At 46.9% G+C, this 23,349-nt stretch overlaps 2 long non-coding RNA genes across 11 annotated transcripts in view, besides 4 other annotated features; one reads left to right on the forward strand and one right to left on the reverse strand.

Moving 5' to 3' along the window:
* The window catches only part of LINC02641 (long intergenic non-protein coding RNA 2641), a 214,291-nt gene extending 194,335 nt beyond the window's left edge, over positions 1 to 19,956 (forward strand). For 9 of the 10 annotated variants that reach the window (XR_007062326.1, XR_002957104.1, XR_002957105.1 and 6 more), the window contains 3 exons: positions 10,280 to 10,475; positions 14,154 to 17,939; positions 19,571 to 19,956. This is a non-coding gene — a long non-coding RNA (long intergenic non-protein coding RNA 2641). Of the gene's footprint in view, positions 1 to 10,279; positions 10,476 to 14,153; positions 17,940 to 18,071; positions 18,283 to 19,570 lie in introns of those variants that run through there. The other variant, XR_946391.3, reaches the window with a different exon arrangement.
* On the reverse strand, positions 1,503 to 16,433 carry LOC105378530 (uncharacterized). Its single transcript, XR_946395.3, has 3 exons — positions 16,367 to 16,433; positions 2,297 to 2,391; positions 1,503 to 1,631 (listed from the first exon to the last, which is right to left on the reverse strand). It is a non-coding gene; the product is annotated as an uncharacterized LOC105378530 (long non-coding RNA).
* Positions 8,153 to 8,663: an enhancer, noted in NCBI's record as "H3K4me1 hESC enhancer chr10:125309926-125310436 (GRCh37/hg19 assembly coordinates)". NCBI's record gives its function as "activates a minimal SCP1, AML or CMV promoter by ChIP-STARR-seq in primed H9 embryonic stem cells {active_cell/tissue: H9 hESC(primed)}" and the evidence as "EXISTENCE:reporter gene assay evidence [ECO:0000049][PMID:30033119]".
* Positions 8,664 to 9,173: an enhancer, noted in NCBI's record as "H3K4me1 hESC enhancer chr10:125310437-125310946 (GRCh37/hg19 assembly coordinates)". NCBI's record gives its function as "activates a minimal SCP1, AML or CMV promoter by ChIP-STARR-seq in primed H9 embryonic stem cells {active_cell/tissue: H9 hESC(primed)}" and the evidence as "EXISTENCE:reporter gene assay evidence [ECO:0000049][PMID:30033119]".
* Positions 11,447 to 11,506: an enhancer, noted in NCBI's record as "active region_4161". NCBI's record gives its function as "activates an Ori minimal core promoter by ATAC-STARR-seq in GM12878 lymphoblastoid cells {active_cell/tissue: GM12878}" and the evidence as "EXISTENCE:reporter gene assay evidence [ECO:0000049][PMID:35858748]".
* Positions 16,090 to 16,808: an enhancer, noted in NCBI's record as "H3K4me1 hESC enhancer chr10:125317863-125318581 (GRCh37/hg19 assembly coordinates)". NCBI's record gives its function as "activates a minimal SCP1, AML or CMV promoter by ChIP-STARR-seq in primed H9 embryonic stem cells {active_cell/tissue: H9 hESC(primed)}" and the evidence as "EXISTENCE:reporter gene assay evidence [ECO:0000049][PMID:30033119]".
* Positions 19,957 to 23,349: the final 3,393 nt, after the last annotated feature.

Genomic DNA, 23,349 nt, shown 5'->3' on the forward strand with positions numbered 1-23,349 from the left:
CATCAGATTTTTGATGAAGACAATTATGTCATCTGAGAATAAAGACACTTTTACTTCTCTATTTTTATTCCTGGATCTCTTTTCTTTCTCTTTCTTGCCTCATTACCTTGACTAGAACCTCCAATAAAATGTTACATAGAAGTGATGAGAGTGGTCACCCCTGCATTGTTTCCAGTCTTAGGGAAAAGCATTTAATCTTTCACGATTACTTATGACATTAGCTGTAAGTTTTTATGTAGATGCTCCTTAAAATGTCAATGAAATTTCCCTCTATTCCTAGTTTGCAAAATGTTTTTACCTGGAATAGATGTTAGATTTTGTCAAATGCTTTTGCTGTATCTAGTGAAATAATCACATGTCTCTTTGTTAGTTTATTAATATAGTGTACTTCATTAATTGATTTTTGAATATTAAAGCCCTAGGATAAACCTTACGTGGTCATGATACATCACTCATTCATTCATATATATATATATATACACACACACACACACACACACACATAGAGATACACACATATATATAATTGCATTTGATTTGCTCAAATTCATAAAGAATGTTTGCATCTATGTTTATGAGGAATATGCATCTGTAGTTCTCTTTCCTTGTAACATTTTTGTCTGGTTTTGATATCAAAGTAATGCTTGCCTTATAAAATGAGTTTGAAAGTCTTACTCCTTCTTCAAATTTCTGGGGTAGACAATGCAGAACTGGTATTACGTCTTCCTTACATGTTTGGTAGAATTCACCAGTGAAGCCCTCTGATCCTAAAGTTTTCTTTGTGGCAGGGTTTTTAAGTAAAAATTCAAATTATTTTATATACATGGCTATTCAAGTTATCTATTTATTCTTAAGTGAAGTGTTGTAGTTTCTGTCTTGTAAGAAACTTTTCCATTTCATGTAAGTTGTTGGATTTATTGGCCTAAAGTTATTCATAATATTCTTTGTTGGCTTGTTAGCTATAACTTTGTGCTGTGTTATTTTAGTGAAATTTATAGCTTATAGTACACAACTTTAATCACATTCAACTTTCAACCAATTGTATACCACGTCATGTATATTATAAAGACTTTACAGCATTATATTTTGAGAAAAGGAGAATGAAAAGAGACCAAGAATATTTGAAGTAAAAGTGTTCAAATATTTTTAAAATGTTATGAAAACTGTGAACCCACAAATACAAGAAGCTCGATGAATCACAAGCAGAAGAAACATAAAGAAAATAAGACTTCATCATACCATATTCAAATTGCTTAAAATCAACAAAAAAGAGAAAACCCTCAAAGCAGCAGGGAAAAAAGACACAGTGTGTCCAAAAGGATCTTTCATTTGGCCTTTATGCTATTATGTCATACATTTTACTTCTAAATATTTTATAAGCCCCAGAGTACATTCCTATCATTTTTGCTTTACACAATTGACCATCTTTTAAAGATACTTAAATGATAAGAGAAAGTATTTATGCTTGACAATGTAGCCTCCATTTCTGGTCCTCTTCATTCCTTTGTGTAGCTCCATGTTTCTATTTAGTATTATTTTTCTTCAGCTTAAAAAGCTTTCTTGAATATTTCTTGTAGTTGGAGTCTAGTGGTAATTGATTTTTTTGGTACGTCTTCAAAAGACCTTGTTGCCTGAAAGTTTGAAAAATATATTTATTGGATAAAGAATTCTAAGTTGTCATTTTTTTCTTTCAGTACTTTAAAGATGTGCTTCACTATCTTTAGCTTGTATGGTTCTCAATGAGAAATCAGCTATCACCCCAATCTCTATCCTTCTGGACACATTGTGTCTTTTTTTCTCTAGCTGCTTTTAAGGTTTTCTCTTTATTGTTGATTTTGAGCAATTTGAATATATGATGAAGTCTAATTTTCTTTATGTTTCTTCTGCATGTGATTCATTGAGCTTCTTGTATTTACGGGTTCATAGTTTTCACACTGTAAAAATATTGGATATTTTTACTTCAAACATTTTTAAGTCCCTTTCTTTCTCCTTTCCTTCAGGGATTCCAATTACATGTATATTTGGCCCCTTGACATTGTTCCACAGTTCACTGATGCTTTGTTAATTTTTTAAGTATTTTTCATCTCTTGATTTTATTTTGTCTTCTAACTTACTATTTTTTCAGAAATATCTAATCTTGCAAAGAGTTCTTTGTGTAATAAAATACTGTCTTTATTGTAAAATGAAAAAAAAATCATGGTATAACATTTTAGGTATAGTATGACCTTAAATATGTTTAAAATGTGCCCAGAAAAAATATTAGAAGAAAATACATAAATGTAAATAGTGGACTTACCTGGTTGGTAGAATTATTAATTCTTAATACCTCCTTTATACTTTTCTGTAATTTCCAGAATTTTGAAAGTATGAATACATTACTTTTATAATTATCTATATAAAAAAGAAAGGATATAAGATGTTAACAACATTGAGATATGATTTATTGATTATCAAATTAGTAAAGATTAAAAATAAGATGAAAATGTCCAGTATTGATGAGCCATGGAAAGTGCATTCTTGTTCAACATTTCCCCCTTAGGGGATATTTATTATAGGACCCTCTTTAAGAGACTTTGGCAATGGCCTTCTGTCATAGGTTGTTGATGTTTCAAAAGGGGATGCTTGGCCTGACACTGACCATGTGTGTCCCTATATATGTGCACTTCAATTTATGTCAATATGGTCATAAATAGCTCTATGCAAATCAATTTATTTGCAAATTGGAACAATGCCTTTGGTGACTGAAACTATTTAAAGAAGTCCTGAGGTTAAGCCTTTTATTATGGAAATATTCTCTTGCTGTTTCCTCTGTATTAGTCAGTTATCATGCTGCTAACAAAGACACACCTGAGACTGGGTAATTTGTAAAGGAAAGACAGTTCCACATGGCTGGGGAGGCCTCACAATCATGGTGGAAGGTGAAGGAGGAGCAAAGTCACGTCTTACACGGTGTCAGGCAAAAGAGCATGTGCAGGGGAACTTCACTTTATAAAACCATCAGATCTCATGAGACTTACTTACTATCACAAGAACAGCACGGGAAAGATCCACCTTCATGATTCCATTAACTACTACTAAGAATTATGGGAGCTGTAATTCAAGATGAGATTTGGGTGGGGACACCAACAAATCATATCATTCTCTTTCTAAACTTAAATTTTTTTTTTTTTGCACATTAGTGTTTACATTACCTTGTTGGAGTGAGACTTGCCTGCATTTTATTTCTGATTCACTCTTTACTGATTTTAGCCTAGGCTCTGTTACTAACAGAATATGTGACTTTTGGCAAGTTAATACCTCTCTCTAGGCCTCACTCTTTGACATAGGAGATTATGTTAGTTTTCCAGGGCTGCCATACAAAACACCACAGGCTGGATGCCGTAGAAAAGAGATATTTATTTTCTCAGAGTTCTGAGTACTAGAATTCCAAGATCAAGGTGTCAGCAGGCTTGGTTTCTCCTAAGGTCTCTCTTCTTGGCTTGCAGAAGGCCATCTTCTTCCTGTATCCTTGCATGACCTTTTCTCAGTATGCATGCATCCCTCGTGTCTCTCCCTCTTATAAGAATATCAGTCCTAATGGGTTAGGGCCCCATCCTTATGACCTCACTTCACCTCAGTTTAATTTTCACCTCACCTTTAAAGATCCTGTCTCCAAATATAGTTATATTAGGGAGTAGGGCTTCAACATGTGAATGCTGAGGGGACACAATTCAGACTATAGCAGAGAGAATTAATTAGCCCTAGATCAGTGGTTCTTAAACTCCAGAATTCCCAGGCGGGATTCCCGGGCCCTGTCCCAAGTTTCTGATTCAGCTTTAGAATCGGGCTTTGGATTTTACATTTGTGGTGATTCCCAGATGATATTTATTCTGCTGGTCCAGAGAGCACACTTTGCAAAAACCACTTGTGCAGACCTTTAAGATAACTATAAACTGTGCAACAACAAACTTAAGACAGAGAGAACACACAATTTTAAAGGGCGCTTTTGGCAGTGCAAATGATGCAATGGTAAATTTTGCAAGTTGGGTTTTGATATGGTTTGGCTCTGTGTCCCCACCCAAATCTCATTTTGTAGCTCCCATAATTCCCATGTGTTGTGGGAGGAAACAGGTGGGAGATGATTGAATTATGGGGTGGGTCTTTCCTGTGCTGTTCTTGTGATAGTGAATGGGTCTCATGAGATCTGATGGTTTTAAAAACGGGAGCTGCCCTGTGCAAGCTCTCTCTTTTTTGCCTGCTGCCATCCACGTAAGATGGGACTTGCTCCTCCTTGCTTTCTGCCATGATTGTGAGGCCTCCCCAGCCATGCGGAACTGTAAGATTAAAAAAAAACTCTGTCTTTTGTAAATTGCAGTCTCGGGTATGTCTTTATCAGCAGCATAAAAATGGACTAATATAGGTTTATTAAAAATTAACAGATTTTTAAAAAGAAGGAGGTAGAAAACAATATGTCTTGAACATCTCAGGAATAATGTAAGTAGGCAAATCTACATAAATGGAACTCATCCTATTTCAACTCCAGGGTTTACATATTTTTAAAAGCTCCCTTAGAAACATGGCTCAGCAACCCTAACCACAGGGAAGGTAACCACTTCTCTGCTGGTTCCTAAATGATGCTTTCATAAGCACTGTTTACAGGGCAAGAAATACTCAGTCCTGACATTGGATTATTCTTCACAATTTATGTTGTTTGTCCAGAAATTTAACTCTTTTCACAATCAGCTTTCTCTGGACAAGGACACTGTATTCTTTTAACAGGATTTTTTTTTTTTTTTTTTTTACCTGTATGACACAGTATGCCAGATAAAGAAACCGTTTCTTTCAGGCTTTTAATCTCCTCCGAGAGCGAAAGTAGTATTTGCTGAAATAAAAATACACCTTGGCAGAAATGCGATGCTAATCCTCTTAGTTTTAATGGTTTGGAAATGGTTGGAGTAAGAAGGTAAACATTGTAGTTGATTAATAGGAAGGAAGTCAATTGTCCATGTAGCCACTGCTATATGCCATACTGTACAATACTGCTTTATTTTTATAAACCCCCAAACAAAGTCTCTCTCCATGTTAATGTTCTTACTTGAAAAGTGATCTACTTGCACCGTGCAGCTCCTAAGTGTTTGATTCCATTACCCCCAAAAGCAAGCAGTGCACATTTCAAATCGACGTCAAACAAATCCCACTGATAACGGGTGTCATATCAATGACTTATCAGGTCTTTTTTATTGAAAATAGTCGGATATAATGAGGTGCTTCACATTTAAAAGTCTTAAATCTTTGAAAGCTCCAAGCCTAGATGGTTTTGATACTAGCTTATTAAACTTGCCCTGGAAGAGAAAGCAGGAGTGGTTGGGGGTGGGTGTGAGCGAGAGTAAGAAAAACCCGGAGGAGGGGAGATGGAAGACTGAGCAGACTGACTTAACCCCACGTTGGCCATGGTGCAAAGATCATGTTTGCTGATAGCCGTTTCTACCAGCACCTCCCAGGGAGGACTCAGAAAAAGGAGGCTCAAAGTGCTTTTGAGCATCCGTATGTTGCTGCCTCCCACAAATTCTCCAGTAATTATTTTGCCAGGATCTCACAGCCTCCTTTGCATGGTGACAAGCCCTCCATTTATTAAACTTGAGCATTGGACAAAGAAGACATTTTACCTACTTTATCACTGGATTGTGAGAAGAAACTCTTCCGGGTCCAGCAAGAAGGGACTTTCACAATAGTTGAGACTCTGCTATGAGTACCAGGCACAAGAAGATGCCCTCCCCCTTTGTCATCTCCTATAACTCAGCTTATGCTCCTGCTAAGTCAGTACTGGCCCTCTTTGACAGCTGAGGAAAGTGAGGTTCCAAAGGGGTGAAAGCATTTGTCATGGAATAGCCTGGAGCAGTATGAGTCTCAAAGTGTAGTCCCTGACCAGCCCCAACAACATCACCTGGGAATTCAGGCTTCACCTGGACCTACTAAGTCAGAAACATAGCTGGTAGGCCCCAGAAGTCTGTGTTCAAAATCAGCAGTGATGCTGATAAACACTAAAGTTTGCAAATGGCCTGCTGCTTTAGGGCCTAAGGCCGTAAGTGTGGAAACTTCCTAAAGGGCTTTAGCAAGTAAGAAGCAGTGCTTTCAACCATGCTAGATAGCAATGAGAGGAAAAGGGAATGCAGTACATCCTCGTCTCCTTTATTTCTCAACCGTATGGTTTTAGGGGGTGACCAAGAAACTGGAAGGGGCAAAACAGGACTTTCATGTCTTCAACCATCCCATGATGTTGAGGCCAAGGGTTCCATCCTGCTGGAATAGCCTGCGATTCTGAGTTGAAGGCCATCCTGCTTTATGGGAGTAAGAAGAATGCAGAGAAGTTAGACCAGGGCTTTTCCTTGTTTCTTCTGGCCACACCATCAGTTGTCTTCCTAACAGAGAATAGCCCTCCCCTGGTGGGTTCCAGAGGAACTACTTGTTCTGAGATACATGGATCCAAAAGGGTGCCCCGGAAAGAGCTGTGCCGTCTAGCACACCTCTTAGTCATGTCTTTCACAATGTCTGGTGTTGCCTTTCACAATGTCGCTGTTGGATCATAACAGCGAATCAAGCTGGAAGGGAAGGGTTCTGAGGAAGCCTGGCCCCTGAGAAGCACATGGAAACTTATACATTTCTGCTTCTTTCCTTAACTGCCAATTCTGCCTACCACTCTGAGTGGCCCACCCAGCCAGCTCTCACTTCAATCTCATTGGCTTGCTCACATGCCAATCAAGTGCTGAGCCAGCAACTCATGGGAAACCCAAACAGTATCTCACACAAACTCAAATAGAAGCTTGTATTTCTTATGGTGCTCTCAGGAGGCCTTCACCAAAGGTGGAGAACAAGGACAAAAGGGCAAGAGTGCTGAACTTGGCATCCCCATTCTGCCCCATCTCAGCCTGTGACCTTGGGCAAGTTACAACCCCCTATTTTCCCATAATTGAAGCCTATAGCCTCTGTGCTTCCCTCCTCCAACCAGCACTGAGATTAGGATGTTGGAAGGATGTAGAAAGGTATTAGGTATTAGAGCAACAATATACAGATACACCGAGATTGGCCTTGAACCTCCAACAGGGAACTACAGCTCAGCAAGGTGTTTCGCCAACAGAAACAGCCTGTCCCTGTGCTTTGAGCAGAGCAGTGATAAGACCACAGAGTCGGGCATAACTCAAAGTGGGGTGACCAAATCATCTCCGTTTTCCTGGAACTTAACTATTTTTAACCCTGTAAGTCCAAGACAAACCAGGACTGTTGGTCACCCTAGCTCAAGGCCAACTTCATCCTTCATTTGTCATATAACTTAACTCTCAGAGACTTGATTCTATATAGTCTGTAAAGTGGAGGTAATAATAATCATACTCATAGGCATTTTTCACACTGTAGTCATTCCATCCTGAAAGCCTAAAGTCTCCCCTCCCCTGGCCTTCTCAGGCTCCCTGATCCTGGGCTGGTCTTGACAGGATACTGAGCATGACTTATGGCAATGACCTGCTTCCTCTCTGTGTGCTGGGAGCTCCTTGAGGACAGGCCCATGTTTTAATCAGCTTTGTTTCTTCAGTCCTTCCCTTGCGCAGTGTCTGCACCATGGGAAGTGCTTAGTAATGCTTGTTAAAATGTCAGTTACTGACATCAGGAAGGCAGATCCCGCAAACTGTAACCTGGAAAGTTCACTTCAAGTTTCAAAGAGCTAACCACATCAGCTAGCACAGAATGTGTGTCAGAGTCTGCAAATGCATTTAGCACATCTTTGATTTCTGTCCTTTCATCCTCCCAACCCCCTTGGGAGATAGGCAAAGGCGTTATTATTTCCTTTATCATACACACAAGGAACCTGAGGCTTAGAGATGGTAGGTGACTTGCCCAAGGTCACACAGCTAGAAACCAGAGGGTGTCTTTGCCACACATAAACTACAGTGACCCACTCCAGGGCCACCAAAGCACTTTTTTGGGGGGCGGTGGCTACAGATGCTTGGAAAAGTCTTCTGGTGTCCAATTGCCTCCCAGGCTCATCTTCAGTAAAAACATGGCCTCTGATTGCCTCGGCCCCTTCCTAATCTGCAGATCCAGGGAGACCCAAGGCACGGGACAGAAACAGCCACATCAAGGCCCCTGTCCCAGGATTCCGCAGTGAATCTTCCTAGTGCTAGGAGACCATTTTCACAACCTAATCAATGATCCCATTATTGACTTGGTGTTCCCAGAGGACAGGTTTAAAACTTTATCGAGCACTGTATGTGGGGGCAATTATAGGGATAATGGAAAATCATCGACAAATGGAGGCTTCTGCATTGCAAATTAACATCTGCTCCAAGTAAGAGAAAAGTCCTGTTTTAGTTTCAGAATTTGTGAAAATGGAAATGGCCATAAGACAAAGTGTGCGATTTCTGGTGGGTACCATCCCGCTCCAACCCGGGTCTCCTGCACCGGCTCTGTCATTAGCATGTAAATGATGCGGCTCCCTGTGACCGTGACAACCCCCATATAATGTGCTCACTGGGAGTGCCTGCTGCATCGTCTACAACAACTGCTCTTGTGATTCCCAGGGTCCTAAAACAACTGGCACCCAAAGTCTCCCTTTGTTTGTAGTGGGCAAACCTGGGAGTGCACCTGGCCTTGGGCCCTGGAGGCGGGTTGGCTCTGGCAGCCGCCAGGCATTCCTCACACAGGCAGGCACACCCAGGAGGCACTGGGCAGAACACTAAGCCTGAGCCAGGGGACCGGGTTCCTGTCTCGGATCCACTAGTCTTGTGGTCCGGGCAAGTTGTGTCAGCTCCTAAGCCTTGCTGTCCTCATCTGTAGAATGGGACTACTATTCTTTCTGTATTAGAGGATCCCTGTAAGGGTTAGATGAGGTAGCCCTTTGAGCCTTCAAAGAACCTATAAGCCTCATATTACAGACTCGTGTGTCCAGCTGTCGGCCTCCTGTGTGGCAGGCATCATCCTAGCACTAGGGAACAAGAGAAATCCCCTGCCATAGTTAAAAATCGTTCAAACAATCGACTATAGATGTATCATTTCTGAAAGTGAAACACTGTGACTGAAGCTAAGCTGGATGGGGTTCGAGGTGATGACAGGGCTGGGGTTAGACAAGACTTGTCCCAACAGTGATGTTTGAGCAGAGACCGGAAGGATGTACAAGAGTGAGCCACGCCATGTTCCGAGGGGAGAGCATGCCAGGCAGGGATGGGGAGGATCAGCCGGGCAAAGGCCATGCAGAGGGAAGGAATGAGCTTGGCAGTTTCAGGGAGCAGCAAGGAGCCCTGACCTGCAGCCAGGTGAGCAAGGGAAGGGGAGCAGAGGAGGAGGAGAGTGACAGGGCCATCGTACAGGCCATCAGAAGGAATGGGAATGTTATTCTAAGTGCCTTGACATTGGGAGGTCACTGGGAGGTTTTGACCACAAGGGTGGCGTGAGCTGACTTGGCTTCCTAAAAGTCATTCTGGCTGCTGGGTGGAGAGTTAATCCAGGGACAAGGACAGAAACAGAGTTCAGGAAGGAGCGCAAGTCTACAAAATACACTGCCCTGTTTCCCGAGAAGACAGAAACGTTCTCAGGAGGCCCCTAGGTTTCCATGGCTTCTTCTTGCCTCCCCTTGGGTTGGCAATGGTAACGTTGACCGTTTCACAGCCGCCTTATCTGTGCCCAGAGCTGTGTGCCCATTCTGTCCTCAAGGTACCCCACTTCCTGTAGGAGGTAGGTGATCTCATACTCCCATTTCCATGACTGACTCAGCCATGTCACACAGCTGGTGAATGGTGGCTGAGCCCACATCCAATGGCTGTCTGGCCCCAAAGCCACTCTGCTCTCTTGACTCTCAGATTTTTTTTTTTTTTTTTTGAGACGGAGTCTCACTCTGTCGCCCAGGCTGGAGTGCAGTGGCATGATCTCGGCTCACTGCAAGCTCCACCTCCTGGGTTCACGCCATTCTCCGGCCTCAGCCTCCAGAGTAGCTGGGACTACAGGCGCCCGCCACCATGCCCAGCTATTTTTTTTTTTTTTTTGCATTTTTAGAGGGACGGGGTTTCACTGTGTTAGCCAGGATGGTCTCGATCTCCTGACCTCATGATCTGCCCGCCTCAGCCTCCCAAAGTGCTGGGATTACAGGCGTGAGCCACCGCGCCCGGCTGACTCTCAGATTTTTAAAAAGCCCCCACACTGCATGTGCCTTCGCCCCATGACAAGGCAAATCTGCAGCCACAGCTGCATGTCCCCTTCACAGTGTGGTCCTCTCTTGAAGATGCCCCACATTTGCCACCATGTTTGTCCCTTGAAGCCCTCCAGGATCTACAGGTGACCAAGAGCCTGCTGTCTGGTTATGGAAGGTCTCAGCTTTGGTTGTGTCAGTGAATGAAGACCAGGACAGTCACAGTTGTATGAGGAGGCTGGGGGCATCCCTTACAGTCCCTTTGAGGGAGGTGCAGTCCTTGTAGCTGGATGACCATAGAGAACCAGCTTCTCTGCTGAACCAGGTAAGTGCTGTAGATGAGGCCACCAGGCTGTTGGCCACCTTGAAGGGCACTGCAGGGAGGGAGTGCTTCTGTCAGTGTGTGGAGGCAGAGATAAGGCTCGGACAGTGGCAGGACTTCAGGGATATTTGTTGTGACTGTGTCACACAGCCAGAGCCACCTCCCCCAACCTTGGAGGCTGCTGACTCTGCCCCACCCTTCACTACACACCCAGCAGAATAGAGCGGTCACTGGCCAAAGGCTCAGGGGCTTCGAGGAAACTTAGCCTCTGTGGCCAACACCTGGCTCTCTGGATCAGCCATGGCTTAGCTCCTGTCCCAAAAAACACTCTGTACCTCTGAAAAGTGCTATAGGCCTGGCCCCTCAAGGCCCGGAAGCCCCAGGAAAGGCCTCCATGGGTGGAGCAGGGGCTGGTGTCAAGCAGGCGCTCTGCAGAGGCACAGATCTCTGCATGATTGATGCTGGAAAGGCCAAGCTTTCACAGGATACCCTCAATTTTACTCAGGCCCACAAAGCCCTTGGGGTTGTGCCTCGATTTTACTCTCGATTTTACTCAGGCCCACAAAGCCAGTGGGGCTGGCTGCCTCAGTGGCCGCAGTTCCTCACCGATTTCAGTGCCCACGCTTACTGCTCTGTGACAGAAGTTTCCCACATTGAAGAGGTGGAGCCTGTTTCCTACCTGAGAATCTGGACTGGCCTCAGGACTTGCTTTGACCAATAGCCAGTGGCAGGTGTGAGGGTGTACTCGTTCTGAGCCTAGCTCTCAAGAGGATGTTCATAGTCTGCCTGCTCTCTCTTGCACCACTGGTGTGCTGCAGTAGCCTTCGATGAGACCAGCCTACACCAGCCAACAGCCAAACACCCTTGGATTCACAACCAAACTCATCCAAAATCAGTTGAGTCCAGAGGAGATCTCCCAACCCTCAGCCTTGACTCATGGCTATAAATAATAAATGATTATCATTTTAAGCCACTGGATTTTGGGATTGGCTGTTATGCAGCAATAGCTGATGCACCTGTGAACTTACCCACCCACTTCCAACACTTAATAATGGTTTGAGGGATGACAAATGCTGGGGTTTGCTACTGACAACATTCATATGCATCATGATCATAATCATCTTATTAACACCATGTATTGGGCATCATCAGCTTCCCGCAGCCCCGTGCTAGAGACTTTACATATAGCATATGCTTGGACCTTCCCAACCACACTGGGAGGCAGGTATTATTCCTCCACATTTGACAGGTGATGAAACTGAGATGCAGAGAAGTTAACTAATTTGCCTGAGGTCACACGGACAACAAGTAGCAGTCACAGAATTCAGACCGTTCCTGTCTGCCTCATGCAAATGAAATATTCTCATGAAAAATATATTCAGAGAGCACCGTGCAGCCCCAGCTCCCTCCCCCCAGGTCCCAAGCTTCCTCCTGACTTTGGATCTTGGGAATCTAACTGGGGACCAGCGGGCAGTGCATGCAATGGCTTCAGTGCCATCAAAACCAGCATCTTTTACTTTAAACAGCCGAGGCAGCAGAATCGCTTGAACCCGGGAAGTGGTGGTTCCAGTGAGCTGAGATTGCGCCACTGCTCTCCAGCCTGGGTGACAGAGAGAGACTCCATCTCAAAATAATAAATAAATAAAATGCTTAGTCCCTTAGCTTCTGATCAGAAGAGCTGCCCAACTTGATCTCTGGAGAGCTCACATGAACTGACTTCTTTCCCAGGGAGCCGTCCTGATTCAAAATCCAGGCATAAGCCAGGAGTGGTTCCCCTTGAGTGACTCAGAGTTTCAGAGAGAGGGTGTGCATAGGTCTGGTTAACCTAATGTGCACAATAAAAATTTTTATTAAAAAGAAACGAAGAAGCTGAGGAGATGGCAATTGGCCATGGAAGGGCATTATTTTTTATTGGAATTAGGATTCTTTGATTTAAAAAATACATAAACCCTCAATTTTCTTTCTCTCACTTGGCTTAGCAGCCTGTGAAAAGTTTCCAAAGGCAATTTCAATATTGGCGGAGAGAACATCTCTGGACTTGCTCGCTTTTCCTGAACTGTCTGTTCTGAGAATTCAAGTCACAGCCACCCAGACTCCCAGCATGTGCGCCCTCTCGCCAGGGCCCCGGGGCCGTATCCTTACACTTGAGGCCAAATATCCATCCCAACACTTGCCTCTGTGTTCTCCTCCACATGCTCTTAGGGTTTTGCCAAGACAGACTGAATTTTATTTTAACAAATAGGTTTCTAGAGGTTTCGATTGAAAGGTAAAATTCCTGTGGTTCGTGAAGAGGCAACAAGCTCATGGATGTGATGATTGCTCTGCATAACTGAGGATTCTGGTTATCCGAGAGCCTCTATGAACTCAAGGGGAATGATCCTTAGATCAGAGCTGACTCCTTGTCAGGTAGCTTTTAATAAGTTGCGTGCTGTGCGCATTTTCTGGGTCATCTCATTTAATTTTCACAACAGCCCTTTGAGGCAGGTTTTTTATAATTTCTATTTCACAGAGGCAGAAGTGGAGACCCAGTAATGTTGAGTAACTTAAATTCAACCAGCAAACATTTATTGAATATCTACGTGTGTCAGGCACTGTCTTGGGCACAGGGGATACCACAGGATTGAAACTGACAAGGCAAAACTGCCCACGATCACAGAGCTGGGGGAGGCAGCCTCAGGATGAAAGTGTATGGGACTCCCAGGTATGAGCTCTGACCTGTTGTACTGAATCCCTGCTCAAGGCCACATCAAGGATTTTGAATAAAATAAACGACGGCACCCGGGGCACTTTTAGAACTGGCAAAGTGCACCTGGAGTTAAGCACCCACCTTTTGCACCTTCTCAGTTGTTTTGAATAAGATTCCAATTCATAAAAATGCATCTGACATTTGTTGAGCCCCAACCGTGGGCCAGGTGGACTTTGCTGCCTTCTCATGGTGGATTATTTTGGCAGTTCCTCAAGACAGATGCACCTTTTGCAGATGAGGAAATTGGACTTGGAGAAGTGACCTGATTTGCCCAGGGATGCTCAGTGGGCAGGTGGAATGGGGGCTTGGACCAGAACCAAGCACACTGGCTGCCTTCTGTGGGTTGTGCCCTGCTCCTGCCAACCTGGGTCTTGAATCTGCTTGGAAGTACAGTTGGCAGTAACTCACCCAGGGGTGTAATCCTCTCTCCCACATAAGACATCTGGCTGGGGGAGAAGGAGGGTGATCACTCTGCTCCGTCATCGCATTCCATCATTTACCGCTTCAAACTGTCCTGTTTAAACCTCTTCTCTTCCTACCCAGAGATGGACCTCCACATTTACTTCAAGGGCTGATGAGCAAACCACCGTCTCCACCTGCCTCCTGCGCAGGTGCCCCAGGGGCTTGCACTGTCCCCATGCACTCACTACGTACTCACGGGGAGACACTCCTGGGGCACCCAGCACCTGCCCAGTGCAGTGCCTGTCCAGGGCTGGGGTCAGGGACCGAGATACCTTTGCAGAATAGTGCTTGGTTTGAGTTGTCCCCAGGTACAGAGGGAGGTCAGGAGACAGGAGAATGGCAGGAGGGAGGCTGGCGAGGAGCCAGGGCCTGGTCCAGGGCTGGTGCCAACCTCAGAGTGTGAACCGCATGCTGTGGGCCTTTGGAGGCTTAGAAGCCATGGGGGAAGTGACCCAGGCCTCTGCTGATTCCAGGTTCCCAAAGACACAGCTGACAAGCCTCACCCTGAAAGGGGCTTCTTTGAGGGTTGAGAAGAACAAAGCGGGAGGAACTGTTTTGTCTTCGTGGCTGAAAAGATTTGCAGCCCCAAAGGAGCAGCAATGCACAGCTCATCCGAGAAAGCATAAACCGCTGAGAACATTCTCCCCTTCCGAGGGTCCTTTGAAAATGAACAAGCCCCAGTGTACCGGAAACACAGTGCAGACCCCTGGATGCCACCTTGTAAACAGGGCCGGGGGCATGTCCAGCTCTGCTCTACAACAATCGCCCTGTGTTGTGGGGGAGTGTGGACAGACCCCATGCTCCCGTTCACTGGAAGGCAAGCGAGAGTTAAGTTTCCTGGACTTCTTCTGAGCACCATTATCCGGGGGTAGCGGGCGTAGCCTCCAGAGCCTTGGCCTGTGCAGGTGTTTGCCCCGCACTTGACACTCCCCAACCGGGTGACGTCTCAGGTGTCCGAGGGGGAACTCCATTCCTGCAGCCCCACCAGGCTCGCCGAAAGCCTGGGCACCAGCATGCCTCGGGGAGGGCTGAGCCCCAGGCCCGGGAAGGGGTGCCTAGCTGACCCTGGCGTGTGTGTCCTCCTGGCTCACCTGGGGCACCCTGCCTCCCTGTTGGTGTTGTTCTGTCCAGCTCTGTGACCGCCCCACTCTCAACAATGAGGCGGCCTGTGGTCCTCACTGGCCAAATGGACTCTCCTCTGGGAGTTTGAATCTGTAGCAGCCACCCAGAGAAGGAGGGTGGGTGGACTCCCAGGAGCTCCCAGCCCTCTGAAGCCCAGTTTCATCATGGACTATCCAGTATCCTCCCAACATTTGCCTTAAGTTTCCACCAAGAATCTTAAATGGAACAGAAGATTTGGGGCAATGACATCCACCAGGGTGTCTCTCAGAAACATGCTGATGGGACCATGGAGGGCCTCATGGAGGCGGGGTCTTTTCCTCTGGGCTCTGACAGATAAAGGCATTGAGAGGTGAAGTAGGGAGGGGGTAACGCTGCTGCCAGGTGGGAAGATGGGGCCCCAGCAGTTGCTGGCTCCTCCGTGCAGTCCCCTGACCTCCTGCCAGAAGGGGGGCAAGGGGGGAGCCCTCCTGAGCCAGGGGCCATGCTTGGTGTGTCTCCTTTGACTGAAGTCACAGGACTGTTCCACCCAGAACAGCAGGGTTGGGGGAGCCTGGGCACCAGCATGTCTTGGGAGGGCTGAGCCCCAGGCCAGGGCAGGGGTGCCCCATGTCACCATCCCTCAGCCCAGCATGGCAGACTGACCATTTGCCTCAGTTTCTCTAATGCCATCTGCTCTTCACCTGAGTCAAGGGGATAAACAATTTAGAAAAACAAAGCCCCCGAAAAATGCAATCTCAGCATTAGGCATGGTGTTATAATAGAGACAGCATACAAGAGACTGAATTCTAGAAGCTGCAATCAACAGGCCGACTCCCTCCCCAGGGGCATCAGGGGCTGCCGGGGGTATCTTGGGCCCACTTACGCACGGGCATTTCAGGGGTCACAGGAGGTGAAAAAGCAGGCTTGGCTTCAGGTTTAAGGACCAAGAGAGACTCACCATGCTGTTGCCCCAAATGGTCACTTTCAAACCCACCAGTGTCCTCCAAAAAAGCTGCTTATATTTTTAAACACCAGGGTCAAATGTTTTAACAATAAATTCTTGTCCCGCAGTGAATAATTTGCTTTAGTTTCTGTGGGATTAGTAGTCATGGAAAGCTAGAGCTTTCCTTGCCTGTACTAACTGTCACTTCTGATGCACTAAGGACAGGATTAGGTACAGCCAGATGACATTTATATACAACAATTTTTCTGCTAATAAAATACCCTACAGATTCTTATGCAGCCCCAGCTTCACATGTCAGAGACTGAAAATAGCTCTAATCCTGACTCTCCCTCCACCCCCAGAATGAGAAGAGCATCTTTTTAACCCCCATTTAACAGTAGAGGAAGCCGAGGTTCAGAGATGGCAGCAGGGAGATCCCTGACTCCCATGGCCAGCCGAACAGGGACTGAAACCCAGGTCTACCCTCGGGGAGGTGACAGGCACCCTCCCACCCTCCTCCCTCTTTCCTTTGAAGGTTCAGTTCCAGATCTTGCCCTGGGTTGAAGCAAGAGATAGTTAAAAAAAAAAAAAAAAAAAAGAGTAAGATGAGGCCTCACCATTCCCAGAACACACTTAGCTTACATTTTCAGGTGTTGGAAGCCCCGGAGCCTCACAGGGGACCACGCCCACTGCCAGGAGCTGCAGCGATTCCCCTTTTGTGGTCAGGGAGGCCGTGGAGCCCTGGGTGACCCTGTGACTTCCCAGGCTGCAGGTGGGATTGAGCCAGGCACTGCGCACGCAGCACTGTGAGCCGCTGGCCCAGGCCAGGCTCCAGAGATGGGAGCTCCGCGGGTTCACAGTCGTCTGTGACAGCAGAGCTGAGGGGAGGACGCAGACCCTGGCCTGACCTTGGGCTACCTCTCAGGGTTAGGCCACTGCCTCTGCTGCAGACCCAGGCGGCGCCCAAAGCCTGGGCGTCCCTCCGCTGCAGTGAAAGGGAAAAGAAAACCGGGCTGCGGTAATGCCTGGAGCCAAAATCTCAGGGAGAAGCCCAGCTCCCGACACCTACCCTCTTAAAGTGCAGTTGGATTGAATGAGGCTAAAGGAAGTAACAGGAACCCCGGCCTGGAGGAAGGAGCACGTGCTATGGGCCTCAGAGGGTGGCAGAGGAGGTCTGCAGGGGCGAGAATCTCGGACAGAGCCGAGGCACAGGTGAGCGGTGCCCGGCACAGCAGCCTGGTAGATGGGATCGGGGCGGACAGCGGGGGAGAGCGGAGAGGGGTCCGCCTGGGTTCACACCCCAACACCCACCAGGAGCCCCTGGGAACCAGTCAGGCCCCCAGCCCAATCCCAGTTTCCCCAGGCCACTGCTGGAACAAAAAGCCTCACTGCAGACAATGGGCCCTTTCTGTAGATGCCCGCTCGGGGCTGGGCACAATCGCCGATTCATAAGCCAGGCAAGGCCCCACAATACCCAGGCTGTGTCCAAGAAGGACACCGACGGGAACTCGGAGAGGCCAGTGTCTTTGGTGGGGAAAGGCTGCTCCCTGGTGGTCCACAGGGGCAGTGCGCATGACCAGGGCTCCCAGACTTCAGGCAAGGATGATGGCGGAGAGACACGGCTTAGAAGTCATCCCACCATATGGACGGGGAAACTGAGGCCCAGAGACATGCAGAGACTTGGCTCGGACTGTTTTCTTCAATGTGAGATAGGATTTGAAGGGGGAAAGTGAAGGAGTTATTTCACCTGATGTGTTAAGTGCGGAGTGAGGTAGGTGGGATTTAGAGGGGAAAGCGAAGAAGGAGTTATTTCACTCAAAGTGCGGAGTGACGAAGATGAAGGAACACGAGGTAGCCGGGCAGTGGGTGCTGAGTTGGCTGACACTGGCTTCCTTCCAGAGCGCAGGGGTGCATCCTTCCGAACCTCGCATTCAGTGACGTCACCTTGGTGATTTGAAGTAGGCCCTGGTGGAAGTATTTACACCATGGACATCAGCAAATGCAACCAAGACCTCCCGCTACCCTGGAGAGCTGGGTTTAAGACATTTGCCAGCACACCACTGCCCAGGGACCAGTCTCAGCTCCAGAGCTGTGGGTTATTGGTAAAGGATGTGATTTCATTGAGCCTCAGTTTCTGTATCTGTAAAGCAGGAATCTATCACTTATGAAATATCCTGTGCAGGCACAATCTTAGGTGTGGAGGATACAATACAACGTAAGTAAGATAAAAGTATCCACCTGTGTGGAGCTTGTATTTTGGTGGGGAGACAAACAAGGGAACTATAATGATATGTCATGTCATAATACATGCAATGATGACAAAGCCAGGTGAAAAGGCGATGATGGTCATTAAGTTCAAGATGGGGAGGGGTTGGGGTGAGGGCTGGCCTGTCTGAGGAGGGGCATTTGCAGTGCTGGAGCAAGCCATGGAGGACAGGAATTGCTCCAGTCAGAGGAACAGCAAGGACAAGGGGCCCAAGACGGCATGTACTAGAGGCTCCACGCATAGAAAAAGCCAGCCATCCCCAGCGCTGTAACTGAGTGGCCAGTGGTGGGAGGTGAGGTCACAGACGCGGAGGGGGCATACATGGGGTGAGCGTTTCAGTCTCAAAGTATGGACAGCCCCAGGGGCTTTTGCAGAACAAAGTGATAAGATCTGATTTGCCATTTAAAATAATCCTTCTGAGTTCCTGTGGGGTAAAAGACTGGAGAGGAGGGTGTGTGAGGTGGGGCCAGGAGCCCAGGGAGCTAGGTCGGGGCCCCTCTGCTAAGTGAACAGGGGAGAACAGTGCCTTGTGGTTTCCTGACATTTAAAGTGGAGGCTTTAAGGTACATGGGTGCCTCACATCTTCAGGCATTCCAGACGCCGCTTCCTCCCGCTCCTGATTGTACAATAACCTTTACCCTCTGTGGGGTATCATTCTGTGTGCATTCATCCTCATCTGGGTCATGTCTCCCACTTACTTGGTGACGACCTGGGGCTTAGAGATACTGTGGAGCCTGCTCAGGGGACACAGCCAGTGAGCAGACACTCAGTCTCTCAGGTTCCAGGCCAGTGGGGCGTGGTCTTGGAGGGTCTGGCTGGTCAGAGTCCCTAATCAGCACCCAGCTCTGGGCTTCCTTTCCACACCTCCCATGCCTCTCTCCATGCAGCTCTTTCCCCAGCTACTGAGACCTTCTGGGCCCTTTCCCTCATCACCGCTCCCTGCCTAGGACCCTTCCAACTTCCTCAATTTCCAACAGGAGTGAATAATCAGGAGGCTTCCTCCTGGGGGATGCCTTTACCTGGATGGGCCTGCCTCAGGCTGTTCTACCTGAATCCATTAACTCCTGAACCATAAACCACAAATTCCCCAGGGCAGGAGTCGTGTTCATCTCTGTGGACTTGAGGGTCTGGCCCTGAGTAGCGGCTTGCACGTGTTGTTAGCAATAATGACAGCTGGGCTTATGATGCAGGTACTGTGTCACGCAAGGTGCTGAGTGCTTTACCTGTGGTGTCTTATTTGACCTTCACAAGCACCCTGAGAGGAAGTTAAGGATATTATCCTTTTCAGCACTGGGTACGTTATTTGTTGGGGACAATGCAAGATAAAAATGTGGAGCCCCTTGTTAAAGATTGTTAAGAATTATTAACAAATTATTTAAAATTTATTAAGAATTTCAACAGCAGAGCATTCAAGCAAGCATGGGTCCATCTAAGTATGACTGTGCAGGTTGAATGCCTATGAAGTAAACTCTGTCCCCATTTTAAGATGAAGAAACTGAGGCTCAAGGAGGTTAAGTAATGTCCCTGGGGGTCATGCAACTAGGAAACAGCAAAGTTGAGATCTGTGTTCTTTATTACAGTCTTTGTAATAGTTAATTTTATGCATCAACTTGACTGGATCACAGTGTGCCCAGATATTTGATCAAACATTATTCTGAGTGTTTCCGTGACAATGTTTTTGGATACAATCAACATTTATTTAATTGGTTGAAGACCTGAATAGAACAAAGAGTTCAATTCTCTCAAGTAAGAGAATTCCTCCTGTCTGACTACTTCAGAATTGGGACATTGGCTTTTTCCTGCCTCTACACTACAACTACACCATCAAGCCTTCAGACATGGAAAGGAACCACACTATTGGCTCTCCTCGGTCTTCAGCTTGCCAACTCAATGCAGATCTTTGCATTTGTCAGCCTTATAACCATGTGAGCTAATTCCCTAAAATAAATGTCCTCATTTAAATGTATTTCCTATTGCTGTTTCTCTAGAGAACTCTAATACAACCCCATACAAAAGTACACCACACTAGAAGAATTGGGTTAAATCGAATTACAAAAAAAAGAAGAAGATTAAACTCATATGCTCATAATTTGGGACTTTCATGTTTGTAATTATCTGCTAAATTCCCTCAATGGCCCATTTCATAGAAGAGCAGAACTCCATGGCTCCTAAGACTCTATGTGCCCCTCAGTCTGTTGCCACCAGGCCTCTTCTCTTGCAACTCTCATGCTCATTGACACATTCCAGCCATGCTGGCCTCCTTGATACTCCTCAACAGGCCAGGCAGGTCCTGCCTCAGGGCCTTTGCATGTGCTGTGCCTCTGCTTGGACTGCTCTTCTCCCACATCTCCACATGGCTGCCTCCCTCCCTCCCATCTTTACTAAGCTGCTGCCTTCCTTGGGAGCTCATTCTGGCCTCTCCATCTCATATGCTCCACCCCTTCACCAGGCTCCCCATCCCCCCTGCCGCCTAGCTCTTATCACCACCTGAGAGGACAGATTTCACTTCTTTTTCTTGTTATTTGTAAGCTCTATCTCCAAGACCTAGAACAGCGGTAAACATGGGAAGTAATTATTTGTGCATAATTAAACAGTTGAGGAAGGGACCTTGGCCCAAACTGATGATGCTGTTTCGAGTGTGCACCCTTCTGCTGGCCCATATCTGCTGGCCCAGCCTGGAGACCAGGAAGCTGCCCAAGGTGATTGAGTCACTCGAACAGCTGCCCCTGCCAGGGAAGGAATGTGCCAGATTCCACTCCCCCAGCATCCTCCAGGGCCCCAGTACTGGAAGGCAAGGCTGCCTCCAGGTCCTGATAATCATAGACTCCTGAGAACTAAAGACCAGCCTGGCTCTGGGAAGAGTCTTAGACCCCTACACACCTGGGGATGTTCTAAGGTCTTTCTAGCTACAAAAGAGTCCGTCTCCTATGTCCTATGAAAGACCCTCCCCAAGGGCTGTAGGACTTTGAGGGTGGGTTTTTAGCTTCCTGGTCTAGCGCTGCCCATGCCAAAGGACCTTGATCTTGTTCTCCAAGAAACACTGGACCAGTCCTTTTCAGTAGGCCCAGGTACTCGCTCCTCTGTGTCTGGGAGACCTGGGCCTCGCCCCTTGGACCCAAAATGGCAAGAAGAGGCAGCTCTGCAGTGCCTTTGATGTTGCAATGTCATCTTACCGGCAGTCCCTGTAGACATGCAGTATTGGCCTGCACCATCAACTCCTGCCTGCCAAAGGGCATGTGGCTTGGGACTGGTTTGCAGGCACTGAGCCTATGATGGGACATTGGGCTCGGTCTCCTTGTTGGGTCTGTTTTCCCAGACCATACTCCAAGTTTCTGAGTCCCCCTACTCATTCTGTCTGTCCTGCCCTTCCTGGCTCTGTGGTCGCTGGAGAGGAGAGGGCACGCCTCAGAATGCCAGCACCAGAGGGGCCTGCAGGATCTTCCAGCCCACAGGAATCCCAGGCCCCAAGAAGCAAAGTGACCAGCCAGAAGCCCCAGGGCCAGCGCTGGGCAGGCTGGACCCCCGAGTGACTGGGTCATAACACTCCTCTGCTCTCCGTACCTTCTACTGTCCATGAGGGGAGGTATGAGGTCAGGAGTTTTCAAAAGTGTTGTTTAAGCAGCTGAACATTTTTATTCAAAGTAAAACTAACATGAAAGCGAATCTACAAATCAGATATGATGGTTAATTTTATGTGTCAACTTGACTGGGTTAAGGGATGCTCAGCTGGCTGGTAAAATACTTTCTGGGTGCATCTATGCGGGTGTTTCCAGAAGAGATTCGCAGGTGAATCAGTGGACAGAGTAAGGCAGCTCCACCTTCAGCTCAGGCAGCATCCTACACGTTGAGGGCCCAGACAGAACAAAAAAGGCAGAGGAAAAGTAAGTTCTCTCTCTTCCGAAGTTCAGGTATCCACCTTCTCCTGGCCCCAGACATCAGAGCTCTAGGACCTTGGGCCTTCAGACTCCAAGACTTACACCAGTGGCCCCAGTTTTCAGGCTTCTGACAGAGTTGCATCATTGGCTTCAGACCCAGCTGAATTCCACACCAATTTCCTGGTTCTCCAGCCTACAGATGGCAGATTAAGGGATTCCTCGGCCTCCATGAGCACATGAGCCAATTTCCATAATAAGTCTCCTCTTATGTGTCTGTAGTTGACCCTTGAACAACACAAGTTTAAAGGGCATAGGTCCACTTACTTGCAGATTTTTTTTCGACAAATATATTGAAAAAATTTTTGGAGAATTTACGACAATGTGAAAAAACTGGAAGATAAACCACATAGCCTAGAAATATTGGAAAAAATAAGAAAAAGTGGCCAGGTACAGTGTGGCTCATGCCTGTAATCCCAGCACTTCGGGAGGCTGAGGTGGGACAATTACTTGAGTCCAGGAGTTTGAGACCAGGTTGGGCAATGTGATGAAACCCTGTCTCTACAAAAAATACAAGAATTAGCTGAGTGTGGTGGCACATGCCTGTAGTAGCCACAGCTACTTGGGAGGCTAAGGAGGGAGAACCACTTGAGCCCAGGAGGTCAAGGCTGTAGTGTGCTGTGATCGCGCCAGTGCATTCCAGCCTGGGTGACAGAGCAAGACCCTGTCTTTAAAACAAACAAAAAAAAAAATCAGATAAAGTGAGGTATGTATTAGTCAGGGTTCTCTAGAGGGACAGAATAGGATAGATGTATATATAAAGGGGAGTTTATTAAGGAGTATTGACTCACACGATCACAAGGTGAGGTCTGACAATAGGCCGTCTGAAAACTGAGGAGCAAGGAAGCCAGTCCAAGTCCCAAAACCTCAAAAGTAGGAAAGCCAACAGTGCAGCCTTCAGCCGATGGTTGAAGGTCCAAGAGTCCCAAAGCTGAAGAACTTGGAGGCCAATGTTTGAGGGCAGGAAGCATCTAGCATGGGAGAAAGATGTAGGCCAGGAGACTCGGCCTTTAGAATGTGGAGACTCTAGTCTTTCCACATTCTTCTGCCTGCTTTTATCCTAGCCACACTGGCAGCTGATTAGATGGTGCCCACCCAGATTGAGGGTGGGTCTGCCTCTCCCACTCCACTGACTCAAATGTTAATCTCCTCTGGCAACACCCTCACAGACACACAATACTTTGCATCCTTCAATCCAATCAAGTTGACACTCATATTAACCATCACAGGTATATTAATGTATAAAATATATGTAGATGCTAGGCTATTTATGTATTAATCAACTGTCTATGTTATTGAGAAGACTTCTGGTTGGCAGTAGGCTATTAGTAGTTAAGCTTTTGGGAAGTCAAAAGTTATATGCAGATTTTTAACTGCAAGAGGGATTGGTGCCCCTCACCCTGGAGTTGTTCAAAGGTCAACCTTGT

The sequence above is a fragment of the Homo sapiens genome, chromosome 10, assembly GCF_000001405.40.
Source record: "Homo sapiens chromosome 10, GRCh38.p14 Primary Assembly".
NCBI lineage: Eukaryota > Metazoa > Chordata > Mammalia > Primates > Hominidae > Homo > Homo sapiens.